Source organism: Homo sapiens, chromosome 15, assembly GCF_000001405.40.
Source record: "Homo sapiens chromosome 15, GRCh38.p14 Primary Assembly".
In the NCBI taxonomy this organism is placed as follows: Eukaryota; Metazoa; Chordata; class Mammalia; order Primates; family Hominidae; genus Homo; species Homo sapiens.
Genome location: NC_000015.10, coordinates 59415401 through 59432531, shown reverse-complemented (window position 1 = coordinate 59432531; position 17131 = coordinate 59415401). Strand labels below are relative to the sequence as shown.

Below are 17131 nucleotides of genomic sequence, written 5' to 3'. Positions count from 1 at the left end.
TGCCGCATAAAAACCAAATGAGACTGAGGAGGAAAAATGCCTTACAAACTTCAGTAGGTAAAGTGTATGGCACAGTGAGAACTAAATAAATGTTGTTTTCATTCCCCTGTCTTCCCCAAGGACAGCACATATCAAAGAATGTGAATAGTAACTTATAAAAATTTATTTTGAGGGAGCAAATTAATTTTAACATTATCTCTGATTTCTTACACCTTCACCTCAGGTCTGCACTAGCAAAGGAGTGAAGATTCGTGTACTTACCCAGATAAATCCAATCAAATAATTGTTAGTTTAAAATACACAGAGCCAAACATGTTTTGGGATTTGAGCATCTTCTTAATTAATTAAACTGAAACGAGCGCTTTATGAGTACATGCCTGCCAGGTAAAGGCATATAGAGTGATGCAGTGTTTAAAAATTGTAATTAATAGACAATACATAGCCTGTACTTAAAGTAAAATAAAATTAAAGAAAAAAGAAAAATAACAAAGTAAGATAAATTAATATTATGCAGTTGTTTTTAAAGAGATAAATAGGTATAATCGTCTTTGTTTTCCCTCCCATATTTGAATACACTTAAATCATTTTCATGCACACACACAGGTTTCCCAAGGCAATGTGAAAGGGTTGCAGGATTCTCTACCAGGCACTGGAGCCCCACATAGTCACGTAGTAGGTTTTCATCACTGTAGACTCAGGAAACAGCTTTTTCTTCCCCTGGGAAACATAAATAATAAAATTGACATTTTCTTTCTCCCCTTAAGGGGATTCATACTTTAAAGGTGCTGGAAACTATCTGTATGTGCTTGGGCAAGTTATTTAAGCTCTCTTTGACTTTCCTTGGGGAAGATGTACCCCAAGGTAATATCAAAGGAACCATGGCAGGTGCCCATAATCCCAGCTACTGGGGCGGTTGAGGCCAGAGGATCACTTAGCCCAGGAATTCGAGACCAGCCTGGGCAACATAGTAAGACTCTGTCTCAAAAAAAAAAAAAAAAAGGCTGGTTGCAGTGGCTCACGCCTGTAATCCCAGCACTGTGGGAGGCCAAGGCAGGCGGATCATGAGGTCAGGAGTTCGAGACCAGCCTGACCAACATGGTGAAACCCCAACTCTACTAAAAATACAAAAATTAGCTGGGCTTGGTGGCACTTGCCTGTAATCCCAGCTACTCAGGAGGCTGAGGCAGGAGAATCGCTTGAACCCAGGAGGCAGAGGTTGCAGTGAACTGAGATTGCGCCACTGCACTCCAGCCTGGGTGACAAAGCGAGACTCCATCTCAAAAAAAAGAAAAAAAAAAGATAATAGCAAAGGGAATTGTTAGGACTATGACAAAAGAAAGCCCCAAGAGTGAAAGAGTGATGTCCAGCAGGTCTGATGGAAAGCAGTAACTGCAGACTGGGTTAAGTAGTGCCCTCACCTGTAAAATGAAGATAACATAGTGCCTACCTCATCAGGTTCAAATGGAGATCAAAGGCACCAATTCATATAAAGAGCTTAGAATAACATCTTAGTTATTATTTATATTATTTATTATGTTTAACATACACATTTATTTACTAATGTCCCCCAAGACTCAGTCAGAAGAGTAAAGATTTAATTAATATTGGTTCAACTATTATGTCCTACACAGGGAGACAGAGTTTGTTAATTAATCTGGTTAACTCATTCCATATAATATTACTGCTATTGCTTGGTTTGGAACAATTCTAAGAATCCTTCTGGTCCCAGCCACACTCAAACCATCTCTTTTCCTTACATGTAGTTTTCAACGTCATAGTCAAATGTACATGCAGCTCCTAATCTCCTGCATCATTTTGGGGTGTACCTAATACAAATTCCAAGGTCTCTCTTCTTCTAAAGCAATGAGTGACATTGTCACAGTGTGGTTTCTACTTTGTATTTATCTGAATCCTTCCTGCCCCACTGACATGACTGAACCAAATTAGGTACCAAATGAAGCCCTTAAAAAGGGGAATAGGGCTCACACCTGTAATCCCAGCACTTTGGGAGGCCAAGGCAGGTGGATCACCTGAGGTCAGGAGCTCAAGACCAGCCTGGCTAACACGGTGAAACCCCATCTCTACTAAAAATACAAAAAACTAGCCGGGCATGGTGGCATATGCCTGTAATCCCAGCTACACAGGAGGCTGAGGCAGGAGAATTGCTTGAACCCGGGAGGCGGAGGTTGCACTGAGCTGAGATTGTACCACTGCACTCCAGCTTGGGTGACAGAGCAAGACTCCATCTCAAAAAAAAAAAAAAAAAAAAAAAAAAAAGGGAAATAGGTCTGTGTATTTGGTGCCACAGGAAGGGTGGAAGTGACATCACTGTCCTATCCTCCCCATCCCCCTGCTGGTTGAAATCATTCTTTCTCCCAGTGAAAATCTCTGAGGATAAATGTGGCTGGCAATGGCTGAGGAGTCCGTGATCACCACCACCAGACAATTATCTGGCCCTTGCTTTCAGCTGTTTAGTTTATTTTTCTTTTTTATTGTTTTGGTTTATTCTCATGAATGGTAAAGTAAAATTACAAAGCATACCCAGAACAAAGAAGACTCACACCTCCCTAGTCCTACTACCTGGCCTGGACTCAACCCTCTAAGACTCTTCGCCACCTGCCTGCCCTGTTCTCAGCATCAGGAGTGCACCTATTCCTAACTAGGACTTCTGCCTACATCTATTACATCAGAAATTAGGGCTTAAATTTCCCTGGCTTATTTTATCCCAAATCCAGAGAGAAAAATAAAGGTCTAATTGATACTGATTCAACTATTTTATTTTACACATGGAGATAAAATTTTCTAATTACAGTACTTAAAAGTCAAAACATTCTTTTTAAAATAAATCCCAGTGATATATGCAAAGTTATTGCTAATTCATTGTAAGTTTAAAGCCCAAATATACCTAATACTAACTTTAACATAATCAATTTGACTCTTGTTTTTCCAAGCAAGAGTCAACCCTTTTTCCAAGGGGAGATAATAGTGGTATATGTAGGAACACTTCCACAGGAGATATCAGCTTTCCTTTTATTAAGTTTAGAGAGGAACAATTCTAAGTAAAACTTTAAAAAATCTTCAACACAGATTTTTTTAATAGGCAATACAGAAGGACAGGATGACCAATAAGGGTGCTCAGAGTAAAACTCCTAAAGTTGCACAAGTTGTAGAAGAAAATTTCTTATAATGAAAGGACATGAGTATCTAGATTGAACAGAACTACCAGAAACCTGGCAAAGTAAACGAAAAAAAGATTCATACCAAGACAACTGACTTTGAAATTTCAGAACACAAAGATAAAAACAAAATCCAAAATTTTCCAGGCACTAAATATCACATACAAAGAATTAGGAATCCGAATAACATCAGTTTTCCCAATATTAGCAGTTGAAGAAAGAATAGTACCTTTAAAATCCTGAGGGAAACTTATTTCCATTCAAGAATTCTACACCCAGCTAAACTATCCATCAAGGCTGAGAGCAGAATAAAATATTTTCATGTATTTCAGTTCACAACAATGTACCTCATATGCACCCTTTCTCAGGAATCCACTGAGAAATATTTTCTAGGTATGAGAAAGTAGATCAAAAAGGAGTAGATGGGAAGGGTGTGGTGGCTCACGCCTGTAATCCCAGCACTTTCAGAGGCGGAGGCAGGCAGATCACTTGTGCTCAGGAGTTCGAGATCAGCCTGGCCAACATGGCAAAACCCCATCTCTACTAAAAATACAAAAATTAGCTTGGCATGGTGGCCTGCGCCTCTAATTCCAGCTACTTGGGAGGTTGAGGCATGAGAATAGCTTGAATTTGGGAGGCAGAAGTTGCAATGAGCCGAGATTGTACCACTGCATTCCACCCTGGGTGACAGAGTGAGACACTATCTCAAAAAAAAAAAAAAAAAAAAAAAAAAAGGAGTAGACATGGATCTAGGTAGTAGAAGATGCACCTCAAGGTAATATGAAAGGAACCATGGCAGGTGCCTATAATCCCAGCTACTGGGGAGGCTGAGGCCTGAGAAGCACTTGAGCCCAGGAATTTGAGACCAGCCTGGGCAACATAGTAAGACTCTGTCTCAAAATAATAATAATAATAATAATAATAATAATAATAATAATAATATCAAAAAGAATTCTCAGGACTAAGAAAAGCCCCAGAGTGATGTCAAGCAGGTCTGATGGAGAGCAATCACTGCAGATTGGATTAAGTAGAGGACTCATCTGACAAGGAATTAATAATCACAATATGTAAGGAATGCAACCAACTCTATAGGAAAAATATCTAATAATCCAATTTAAAATGGACAAAAGATCTGAATAGACATTTCTCACAAGAAGACATAGAAATGGCAAACAGGTGTATGAAAAGGTGCTCAACATCACTGATCATCAGAGAAACACAAATCAAAACTACAGTGAGACATCATCTCACCCGAGTTAAAACGGCTTTTATCCTAAAAGGCAATAACAAACGCTGGCAAAGATGTGCAGAAGAGGGAATCCTCGTACACTGTTGGTAGAAATGTAAATTAGCACAGCCACTATGGAGAACAGTTTGGAAGTTCTTCAAAAATCTAAAAATAGAGCTATCATATGACCCAGCAGTTTCACTGCCAGATACATACCCAAAAGAAAGGAAATCAGTATATCGAAGAGATATCTGCACTCTTATGTTTATCACAGCACTATTCACAATAACAAAAATTTGGAAGCAACCTAAGTGTATTCAGCAGATGAATGGATAAAGAAAATATGGTACCTATACACAATGGAATACTATTTAGCCATAAAAAAGAATGAGATCCTGTCATTTACAACAACATGGATGGAACTGGAGGTCATTATGTTAAGTAAAATAAAACAGGCACAGAAAGACAAACTTTGCATGTTCTCACTCATTTGTGGGAGCTAAAAATTAAAACAATTGAACTCATGGAGATAGACGGTAGAATGGCAGTTACCAGATGCTAGGAAGGAGAGTGGGGCCTAGCGGGGCAGTGTGGATGGTTAATGAGTATTAAAAAAACAGAATAAATAAGATCTAGTATTTCATAGCACAACAGGGTAACTTTTGCTATCAATAGGTCAATAATCATTTAATTGCACATTTAAAAATAGCTAAAAGAGGCGAGGCATGGTGGCTCAAGCCTGTAATCCCAGCACTTTGGGAGGCTGAGACAAGCAAATCACTTGAGGTCAGGAGTTTAAGACCAGCCTGGCCAACATGGAGAAACCCCGTCTCTACTAAAAATACAAAAATTAGCTGGGCTTGGTGGCATGCACCTGTGATCCCAGCTGCTCAGGAGGCTGAAGCAGGAGAATCACTTGAACCCAGGAGGCGGAGGCTGCAGTGAGCCGAGATCAGGCCACTGCACTCCAGCCTGGGTGACAGAGTGAGACTCGGTGCTCCCAAAAATAAAAAATAAAATAAAATAAAACCAAGAAGTAGAGCACTATAGGGAGGTCACTCCCAGGCAAATGGGAGAAAGAAACAGAAACAGATTGTCTGATATGTTTGATCTTAGCGAAGGGAATTACAGTTCTGTCAGAAAGCTTATAGATGAACTAGTGATATGTGCATAAAAAACTAATAGCCCAAGAAAAGGCAATGCTTAATGCTAAGAGTTAAAAGAAATGTGTTCAATCATACTTGACTCAGCTGTGAACAATAGTTATAATGTAAATATGTTACTGAGTGTTGGTTTAATGAAAGATTGCTATGTCACTCTATTGAGAAGCTTAGGGGGGAAGTGTATGTGGCAGAGGTATGTCGAGGCGTGTTGGAGAACTAAATCCTCACCTTCCTTAGTAGGAAGTGACTAGATAATGTCTAACAGTAAAAGATGAAGAAACATCAGTATAAGCAAGTTTGATTTTATAAACTGAGTACATGTATTTCTTTGTTTGTTTGTTTGGGTGTTTTTGAGACAGAGTTTCGCTCTTGTTGCCCACGCTGGAGTACAGTGGCGCAATCTCGGTTCACCGCAACCTCTGCCTCCTGGGTTCAAGCGATTCTCCTGCCTCAGCCTCCCAGTAGCTGGGATTACAGGCATGCGCCACCACGCCTGGCTAATTTTGTATTTTTAGTAGAGAAGTAGAGACGGGGTTTCTTCATGTTGGTCAGGCTGGTCTTGAACTCCCAACCTCAGGTGATCGCCCACCTCGGTCTCCCAAAGTGCTAGGATTACAGGCAAGAGCCATCACACCTGGTCAGTACGTGTATTTCTTAGAGCCAATTTTTTTTTTTAATCCAGAGTTAGGAGAAATAAATTATAGAATATTTTAAAAGTACTTGTACCTATTATTTTGAAATTCTTCTGGTTATTTCTTTAAGAGTCTTACTGCCTTTATTCCCAGGACATAATTTCTGTATTTCTGTTTTGGAGACAATTCAAAAAGTGTGGTTAGCAAACCACAATTCTTCCACTTTAGAATGGCATTATGAAGCCTTTTTTAGAGGACTAAAGACTAATTTAAAAACTAATTTTGTTCAAAAGAACATAAACTCATTGACTGCATAGCAAATTGTTCCAAATATATTTTAATAACTTTCTGACCAAACAAAATCAGAAGATGACTTTTAAGTTCAGTTTGAGCCCATTAAAAATAGAATAGCCAGCTGGGTGCAGTGGCTTATGCCTGTAAACCCAATAGGAGGCCAAGACAGGAGGATCGCCTGAGGCCAGGAGTTCAAGACAAGCCTGGGCAGCATAGTGAGACCCCCATCTCTACAAAATAAAATAATTATCCAGTCATGGTGATGCAGGCCTGTAGTCCCACTTACTCAGGAGGCTGAGGCAGGAGGCTCACTTAAGCCTGGCAGTTTGAAGCTGCAGTGAGCTATGATCATGCCACTGTACTCCAGTATAAGCAACAGAGTGAGATCCTGTCTCAAAAACAAACAAATAAACAAATAAAAGAATAGCCAAGGCAAAGCCTATTTTACTAAAACAAAAATATTTTCCAGATAGAGTATTCATTTAAAGTACGATTTTTCTGTGTGTAACTGTAATAATACTTTATAAAGCAATAAAAAAGAAAAAAACTATTTTAGCAATTTTTAAATAAGGCTTATGAATAACAGAAGGTCAGGGGCCTTTTTCCATAACTCAGATAATTAAAATAATTATCTGCTGAACACATATTACATGAATGGTAATGAAAAAGAAGGACTCCAAGATTCAAAGACTTGCATTCAAATTCTGGCTTCATCTCTCACCAAGTCGATGATTTGGGGTAAGTCATTTTATTTGTTTGAGCCTCAATTTCTTCATCCATCAAGCACCTAGACTGTATCAGGCACTATCATAGGCACAGGGACACTGTAGTCATTGCGTGGTCTATGCCCTCATGGAGCTTACATTCTAAGGGGAAAAATTATCCCAACACTTTGGGAGGTTGAGGCAGGAGGATCTCTTGAGACCAGGAGTTTGAGACCAGCCTAGTCAACATAGCAAGACCCCATCTCTATAAAATAAAATTAAAATTAAAATTAAATAAAAGAGGGAAAAAGAGGAGTACCAGAGGAGAATGTATGTTGAAGTTTGAAAGTTGCAGTAAATAGTTTTGGTTGTATTTGATATAAGCCATGGAATGGTTTAAGCAGAGGAGTAACTGATCTGATTTACTCTGGTGGCTGTTTTGAGAACGAATTACGAGGGCATAAGAGAAGGAAGAGAAAGTAGAGAAACCAGTTTTAAGGCTATTGTAGTAGTGAGGTATGACAGTGGCTTGGATTACAATGACTGCAGAGGAAATAGATATAGACACGGTGGACTGACTTTGACTAGAATGCAGAGGTAGAGTTCAGCGAACTTGTGATGCAGGAAAAGAGGAAAGAGAAATCAAGAATTTTTTCTGGCTTTTCTTCTATAACGTAAGCAAATAGGTAAATAATGATGCCATTTATGAAATGGAGAACTCTGTGGGAAAAGCAGATTCAGTGGTGGATATCGAGAGCTTAGTTTTGGACTTGTCAAGTATGTAATGCCTACCAACTTCTAGGAAAAAACATCAAGATGGCAGCTGGAACTGTGAGTCTGAAGTTTTGGGGAGAATTTGAGCAGAAGCCATCCTTTGATTAGCATTAGTATACAGGAGATACATAAAGCCCTGTGATTGGATGAGATTATCTAGGGAAGATGTGCACATGGGGAAATGTATGGGGTTCAGAATGAAGCCCTGGGCCAGAGAAGGAAGAACCAGATGCCAGAAATCAAGAACCAAGAACCAAGGAAGGAGACTGAGAAGAAAGAGCCTTCATAGTTGAAAGAAAACCAGGAGAGTGTGGTAACACAGAAGACAAAAGAAGAGTTTCAAGGAGGGTATGAACCCTCTGGTCAGCTGGGTCAAAGGCTGCTGAAAAGTTCCAAAAGGTATAGCCCAAAAAGTGAGTGATGAACGTGGCAACAAGGAGGTCACTGGTGACCTTAATGAGGGCAGTTTGGGTGCAATGGTGGGGACAGAATCTCTACTGGAGTGGGCTAAGGAAAAGATGGGAGGTGAATGAGAATGTAGTGACCACAGGCAATGCTTTCAAGAAGTTCCGCAGTGAAAGGAGCAGACAAATGGGAAGGTAGCCAGAAAGAAATGATGTGGGGTCAAGATAAGTTGTTTCGTTCTTTAAAAAAATGGAAAATGTTAACCTAGGTTTCCTTTCAGATAGGAATGATCCAGTAAAGGAAGAGAAATCAGTGATATAAGAGAGAGGCAGTAATAGTTATAAATCATGTTTAAAAATCCTGACCCGTGAGTAATTAAATATAAGTCTCTTACATTATATGAAAAACTTTCAGCATGAAATCTCCTTAATTGTGAATGGTTCTATAAAAATTTCTGTATTTTGTTAGCTTCTCATTCCTTATTTCCAAATATTTAACCTTGAGTTTATGTGTATCCATTTTATTGCTTCCTAAGAGTTTACGTTTCTCCATAATTCCCTTTTGTCACATATAATAAGTCTGTGTCCACAAGAAACGTTATTGTGCTGTGATTTAGAGGTCAAGTCTTGGAGTCAGATTGACTTGGATTAAATCTCAGCTCAGCCAAGCGATAACTCTGTGACCTTGGGAAAAGTTTGCTAAAATCTCTGAGCTGCAGTGTCCTTTTCTATCAAAAGTTAATAATAATACTCATTTCAGACCAGGCGCGATGGCTCACGCCTGTAATCCCAGCACTTTGGGAGGCCGAGGCAGGCGGATCACGAGGTGAGGAGATCGAGACCATCCTGGCTAACAGGGTGAAACCCCGTCTCTACTAAAAATACAAAAAATTAGCCAGGCGTGTTGGCGGGCGCCTGTAGTCCCAAGCTGCTAGGGAGGCTGAGGCAGGAGAATGGCGTGAACTTGGGAGGCGGAGCTTGCAGTGAGCCGAGATCGCGCCACTGCACTCCAGCCTGGGCGACAGTGCGAGACTCCGTCTTAAAAAGTAAAAATTAAAAAATAAAAAATAATAATAATACCTATTTCATTAGGTTGTTGTGAGGATTGGAAAAGAAAATATATACAAAGTCTCTCACATGTAGTAAGCATTCCATAAATAACAGCTGTTACTATCATTATTATCATTATTCCATAGGCAAATAAAAAAGCAAAGTGAAAAAATATTCATACAGTTAAGAAATTTACCATTTAAAACTTAAATTAACTTGTGAATTCAATAAATGACAGAAATTTCTTATGAACCACTCAAGGAATCTTTAACTTTACTTTCATGCAGATTTCATTTAACTATGTTTTAAATGCTTTGAAACTAGATAGAGGTGGCTGGGCATGTGGCTCACGCCTGTAATCCCAGCACTTTGGGAGGCTGAGACAGACAGATCATGAGGTCAGGAGATTGAGACCATCCTGGTTAACACAGTGAAACCCCGTCTCTACTAAAATTCCAAAAAATTAGCTGAGCGTGGTGGCAGGCACCTGTAGTCCCAGCTACTTCGGAGGCTGAGGCAGGAGAATGGCATGAACCCGGGAGGCGGAGGTTGCAGTGAGCTGAGATCACACCACTGCACTCCAGCCTGGGTGACAGAGCGAGACTCCACCTCAAAAAATAAATAAATAAAATAAAATAAAAAGAAAGAAACTAGATAGAGGTGTGAACATACAAAACACCCCTGAATAGAACACTTTGTTTTATTTTTAATTTATTTTAGAGACAAGGTCTCACTCTGTCACCCAGGCTGGGGTGCAGTGGCCTGATCATAGCTCACTTCAGCCTCGAACTCCTGGGCTCAAGTGATACCCTAATCTCAGGGATACTACAAGCTGGTACTACAAGCATGTGTCACCATGCCTGGCTAATTCTTTTTATTTTGTGTAGAGACAGGGTCTCACTATGTTGGCCAGGCTAGTCTTGAACTCCTGGACTCAAGCAATCCTCCTGCCTCGGACTCCCAAAGTGCTAGGATTACAGACATGAGCCACTGTGCCTGGCCCACTTAAAAATACTTTAAAATGCTTAATTTTATGTTATGTGAAATTTCACCTCAATTAAAAAAAATACAATGAACACCTGTTATGTACCTTATTTTGTTTAAAAGATATGGCCATATGAACTTTCTTTTCCTTTCCTGGTCAAAAATATCAAATTAAAGTGGATATAAATAGGTGACAGATGATAGATAGATAGATAGATAGATAGATAGATAGATAGATAGATAGATAGATAGAGGGTTGAGGGTTTAATCTGTCCCCAAGGATAACAGCTTTAAAACCTCAATGCTTTTTTGGTAGGTAGTTAGGTAGGTAGATAGATAGATAGATAGATAGATAGATAGATAGATAGATAGATAGACAGATAGATAGATAGACAGACAGACAGACAGATAGATAGTTTAAGGGTTTAATCTGTCCCCAAGGATAAGAGCTTTAAAACCTCAATACTTTTTCCCAAGAAGGACCAAGGACTCCAGGTATAGGCCAGCAATAAATACAAGGTATAGCCAGGCAGCAACGGCAAAGTAGGGCACAATTACAAGTAAGGATTTAGACTGACATTTTAGACAAAAGAGCAGAAATTCGGGAGAGGCTCCTGTGAGGAAAGCAGACTTGGGGGAAGTCTTAAGCAGCACCAGGGAGAGCTCCCAGCCCGTCGTATATACGCTCCTGCTATACGCTAAGCTGCCCATTTTCCTCCAGAAACTAAGGTCCTCCCCAGGTTGTCCTGCCTTTAAAGCAGAGCCATCATGGACTTAAGGACCTTTCTGACCTACAGTGATGGGGTCCACATCTACTCCCACACAAGAATCTTTGTTCAAGCTGTCAGGGATCTGCCTTTCCACTGAGCTCCAATTCTACCTAGAACATTGCCCGTCGAAGTGTGATCTATGCACAAGAACACGAGCCCCTCTACTGTTAGGAATGCAGAGTTCAAGGGTCCCAACCTGGGTCTACAGGATCAGAATCTGCATTTTAACAAGACCTCCTGCTGATTCGTATGCACATTTAAGTCTGAGAAGTACTGGCCTAGAGAACGTGACCCCACCAGAACACAGTAGAGCACGTTCTTCAAGAGCCTTCCTGGCCGGGCGCGGTGGCTCACGCCTGTAATCCCAGCACTTTGGGAGGCCGAGGCGGGCGGATCACGAGGTCAGGAGATCGAGACCATCCTGGCTAACACGGTGAAACCCCGTCTCTACTAAAAATACAAAAAATTAGCCGGGCGAGGTGGCGGGCGCCTGTAGTCCCAGCTACTCGGGAGGCTGAGGCAGGAGAATGGCGTGAACCCCAGGGGGCGGAGCCTGCAGTGAGCCGAGATTGCGCCACTGCACTCCAGCCTGGGCGACAGCGAGACTCCGTCTCAAAAAAAAAAAAAAAAAAAAAAAAAAAAAAAAAAAAAAAAAGAGCCTTCCTTGGCTTCGTCACTGGATGAGTGATACTGGGGGTAGGAACCCTGTCATTAAAATCATTGGGATTATACAATAAATCTTATAAAGCACTGGGAAGAAATGTGATAAAAATGAAGAAACGAAAGGAAAAATTCTCTCTAGGCTGACATTTGGTATGCAACAACATGCAACTGGTATTTGGTATAAAATGTGTTTGTTTTTCCGTTAGACTCAGCTGTCCTAATTTGAAAGAGCCTCCAAAAATATCAGTTGCTATTTAGCTTCCCTTAGTTAAGGGTTGTTTAATTTTGTTAGACAATGAAGCTAATTCTCATCACTGCAACAGGAAGAACAATGACATGAACCCACAAAAGATGTCCCCGCCTACATATGGTTACAGTGGCATAAGCTGGGGACACAGTGACTAAAGTCAAGTCCTAGTCACTTAAACTTACCAGGGTATAATGGGGATTGCCAGAATCAGCGCTAGAAGCTGCATGTAAGAGATGTGTTTCCTGCTTGTGTTTGTTTCTTGAATTGTAATTTCCTAGCAGGAACATTTTTGCCCTGCTTCTTAGATGGCAGTCCCTAAAGAGTCATTCTCCATTTTTATCCTGCAATGGATTTTCTATGCCAGGATTTCAGGTAAATTCTCTGTGAATCAATCCAGTATGCATGAGGCATTGGCTCTGAGTCCAGCTCTGGGCTAGGGAGTGTGAAGGGGAAAGGGGCTGGGTGGCAAGACCCAAAATACATTCCAGCTGCATGATCCCTAACCTCCAGAGGGGCAGAGCTGTAGTTGGTTTTTGGTTTCTTTGTTTGTTTTTTTGTTTTTTAGATGGAGTCTCGCTCTGTTGTCCAGGCTTGAGTACAGTGGTGTGATCTCGGCTCCCTGCAATCCAGCTCCAGGAGTGATTCTCAAGCAATTCTCCTGCCTCAGCCTCCCAAGTAGTTGAGATTACAGGCGTCCGCCAGCACGCCCGGCCAATTTTTGTATTTTCAGTAGAGACAGGGTTTCACCATGTTGGCCAGGCTGGTCTCGAACTCCTGACTTCAAGCAATCTGCCCGCCTCGGCCTCCCAAAGTACTGGGATTACAAGCTTGAGCCACCGTGCCCGGCCTGTTGTTTTTTAATAGAATTCAAACACAGGAAACCATTGGGAAGAAATGAAAGAGAGGGTAATGAAGTACTAAATAATGTGGTTCACACTTCAAGTACTGTAGAAGGTCAGAAAAGAATGAGTTCTTTCCTATGAAAAGAGGAGAGGAAACTTAAAATGGTCCTTGATGAACGTGTTGCAATTTCATACATAGAAGAGAGATTAGGGGAAGTTTCTAGGGAGGAAACAGGGAGTTCAAAGGCACAAAAGTGAGAGTTATTTAATATCTCTTATTGTATCTTCCACTTCCCTAAATGAGAAGAATAACAGGATTTGTTTTAGTTAAATCATAGGTTTTTATGAGAGGGTTAAATGAGATGGTTTTTGTAATTGCTTTATAGATTAAAGGGTTATTCAAATTATTCCTTACTACTGCTGATATTATCGTTGTTATGGGCGTGCCTACTGTGTTCAGGACATTACCCTAGGCCTACAGATAATCGAACTGATGAAATGATTTTAGTAACCAACTACCAGTGACTTAAAACCAGAATACCAGTTTCTAATTTCTACAACTTAGGATGAAACCAGCCAAGAGATTTGAATCAGTCTTCTGCCTAAGACATTTTTTTTCTACAGCCAGTCTGTTCAGAAATCAAATTGTAGATCAGAAGGATAATGATGACAATATTAACACTGGTCATCATTAATTGTATATCAATGGACAGGGCTGTCTGCACACATGCCCTTGCTAATTCCTCACAGCAGTTCTGTGAGGAGGAGACATCACCTCCATTCTGCAGGAAAGGAAACTGGGGCTCAGATAATTTAAATAAGCTATCCATCTTCAGAACTAATAACTGATGAGCCTGGATTTAAACACATGCTTGTCTGGCTTCAAAGCCTAAGCTCTTTCCCCATGTTAGCAGACATGAAGAGGAAATCGAGCAAGGAAAGTCGCCCTTTACGGTTTTTCCTACCATGCCTGGGTAACATGAACAACAAATTGGGAGGAAAAAATAGCTGAATACATGAACTAAACTGAACATTGCACCAAGCTTGGGAAACACCTTCATAACCTGGATCGAGCTATTGATTAGACCAGATTCTAACACCCTTTCTAAACTTTCTTGCTCTACTTTTGGGGAGAATGGATTCAAGAGAACCAACCAGCTTGCCCTTGTAAATTACAGGGGTAAAAATGTTTTCTAAACAGGAAAAGGCAGGGTTATAGCTGATGAGTTTGATTGATTGTAAAACTCAGTTAGATAAATTGCATCCAAAGAACTTCTTCTCCACGTAAGGTAGCTTTTCTGTTGTCACTGTTTGTTGCCTCTGCCCCCATAGCTCATTTCTCATCACAGCCTCACAACTACCTCACAGCTCACATCGTGCCCTCAATGTGCTTGCACTGTGAAGAGAATGCTACCGTATTTGTGCTCTAGAAGAGAAGAAAGTGTCAGCTTGTCTTCCCGACAAAGTTAGATAAAAAATCCTATTTTAAAAGGATGAGTTCATATCCTTTGTAGGGATATGGATGAAACTGGAAACCATCATTCTCAGCAAACTATCACAAGGACAGAAAACCAAACACCACTTGTTCTCACTCACAGGTGGGGAATGAACAATGAGAACACTTGGACACAGGAAGGGGAACATCACACACCGGGGCCTGTCGTGGGTTGTGGGGAGGGAGGAGGGATAGCATTAGGAGATAAACCTAATGTAAATGACGAGTTAATGGGTGCAGCACACCAACAGGGCACATGTATACATATGTAACAAACCTGCATGTTGTGCACATGTACCCTAGAACTTTAAAGTATAATAAAAAAAATAAAAGGGATAATCAAGCAAAAAAAATCTTTTTATTTTTATTTATTTATGTATTTATTTTGGAGACAGAGTCTCACTCTGTTGCCCAGGCTGGAGTGTAGTGGCATGATCTGGGCTCACTGAAACCTCTGCCTCCCAGGTTCATGCAATTCTCCTGCCTCAGCTTCCTGAGTAGCTGGGATTACAGGCGTGCACCATTATGCCTGGCTAATTTTTTTTTTTTTTGTATTTTTAGTAGAGACGGGGTTTCACCATGTTGGCCAGGCTGGTCTCGAACTCCTGACCTCAAGTGACCTGTCCACCACGGCCTCCCAAAGTGCTGGGATTACAGGTGTGAGCCAACACATCCAGCCAGAAAAGCTTGTTTTTTTGTTTGTTTGTTTGTTTGTTTGTTTTTAAATAGCTACTTTGATCATAAAGTAAGTTGAACATTTAGAGGTTGGGGAGGCAACATTAAGAAAACGAAGTAAATATAAAAGGGGAGGCGACAGGGTGGTACGGCATGTGACCACTAACTCAGCATCCTCAGGCTCCGAGAGGGACAGAATCAGAATGTGGAGAGCACAGCCTGGGTATTCAGCACGCATCCATCTGGACCTTCAGCAAGCTGAACTCACTTTCTATCTATAGCATCCCTCATTTTGTTTTTCTTTTAAAAATGTATTTCCCAGGATTCTTTCAGGGCAACCACAGAAGTGTCTTAGCTCCTTCCCCATGTCTCCCCCTACCCCAGCCCCCATCATCCTCTTCAGTGATTCTGGGCATAGCACCAGATGCAGACACGACGGCACAAGTCTAGGATGGGGACTCTTTGGCTGCTTACTCGCAGAAAGAACTTTGAAAAACTATGCACCTTCCTGTATATTTTTAGGTTGGCATCTAAAATTTGTCACCATAAGTTCAAATAGTTGCACAAAATGTAATTTCCAGCATAATGATATTTGAAAATAGAATGGTTCCAGCACCCTTTGGAATGATTCCAGTGACCGCTAAGCATGACAGGTATGGGATACCTGCTTCATAGGGTCATTATGCAGACTCAAGGGCTGAATAGAGGCACAGTGCCCGGCACATGATAAATACTTTATCTTTGTCGTATGTGTGGGTGTATAGAGAGAGAGGGAAAGAGACGGCAAGATGTTAGCAGTAAATCTTAGGAGGGATTGTAGCAGATGATGTTGATGCCCCACCCCACATCCCTTCAGCTCCTGTTTGAGTTCACTCACAGCTGTGGTTCACAGTTTCTGCCATGGGAAGACTTGACACCTCAAATGACGCATCTCACGGCTTCTCTGCCAGAGGGCTTTCTCCAGCACAGAGAAGCGTGCAATACTACTGGTTAGGCACAACCTGGAAACTGAGGCAGCTGACTTTCTCAGGGTTGACTCTTAACCAAAGGGGAGAGGAGGCAGTGGACAAAAGCCCCCGTCTCTCCATCCTTTGGCGAGACAAATGGGAAGCTTATCGTGCATGGTTTCCCAGAAGGTCCCCAGGACGGAGCCCCGGTTGCACACAGCGGTGACCACCACAGGAATGCACATATTATTACTGTGTTTTCCTTTCCTGTCCCATGTCCTGCACCCTTTCACTTGTGCTTTCTGGGATCACCTCCCAAATAAATGTCCTGTACCCAAGTTCTCTCAGGATCTCCTTTGAGGGAAACCCAACCAAGTCCAGGAGATATGGGGATTCATTATAGTGCTCTTTCCATTTTTCTGTGGTTTGAAACTTTCCAAAGTAAACATATAAACAGATTTGTTTAAATGTTTTAGAAGAGCAGCCCTACAGTATGTTCAGGGATTGTACCTGGCTGTGTGCTCCAGAACCCAGTCTGTGACCCTCCCAGAGATTCTGTAAACTACTGAGTATCCCTTAATCAGTTCATTTCTGCTTAACAACAAATCATTGATATTGAATGGTTTTAGTAGCAAGAGGTATAGGAGAGTGGTTCTGAATGTGGAATCCTTCCATCACTCAAGAGCAGCTAACTCCTCTCAGCCTCTGTATTATTCTTTTTGCTGTCATTAAATAAAAAATCATGAACTTAGTGGCTTAAAGCAGCACAAACTTATTATCTTACGGTTCTGCAGGTCAGGGGTCTAAGATAGGCCTCACTGGGCTAAAATCAAAATGTATGTAGAGCTGCATTCTTTTTAGAGGCTCTAGAAAAAGTTTAGTTTCCTTGCCTCTGCCAGCTTCTAGAGGCTGCCTGCATTCTTTGGCACATGACAGAAGATCAAGTCCTTTCAACGTAGCATCTCTCCAAGCCTCTCGTCTGCCTCCCTGTTCCACTTTTAAGCACTCATGATTAGATTGGCCCCATCTCAAGATCAGCTGATTAGCAATCTTAATTTCCTTTTGCTGGGTGCGGTGGCT

At 41.2% G+C, this 17131-nt stretch overlaps 1 protein-coding gene across 3 annotated transcripts in view, besides 1 other annotated feature; it reads right to left on the bottom strand.

Moving 5' to 3' along the window:
* The window catches only part of FAM81A (family with sequence similarity 81 member A), a 125575-nt gene that overhangs the window by 91024 nt on the left and 17420 nt on the right, over positions 1-17131 (bottom strand). The window lies entirely within an intron of this gene.
* Positions 3504-3700: a silencer, noted in NCBI's record as "fragment chr15:59721031-59721227 (GRCh37/hg19 assembly coordinates)". NCBI's record gives its function as "represses an EF-1alpha promoter that drives an FKBP-Casp9 reporter gene in an ReSE screen in HepG2 liver carcinoma cells {active_cell/tissue: HepG2}" and the evidence as "EXISTENCE:reporter gene assay evidence [ECO:0000049][PMID:32094911]".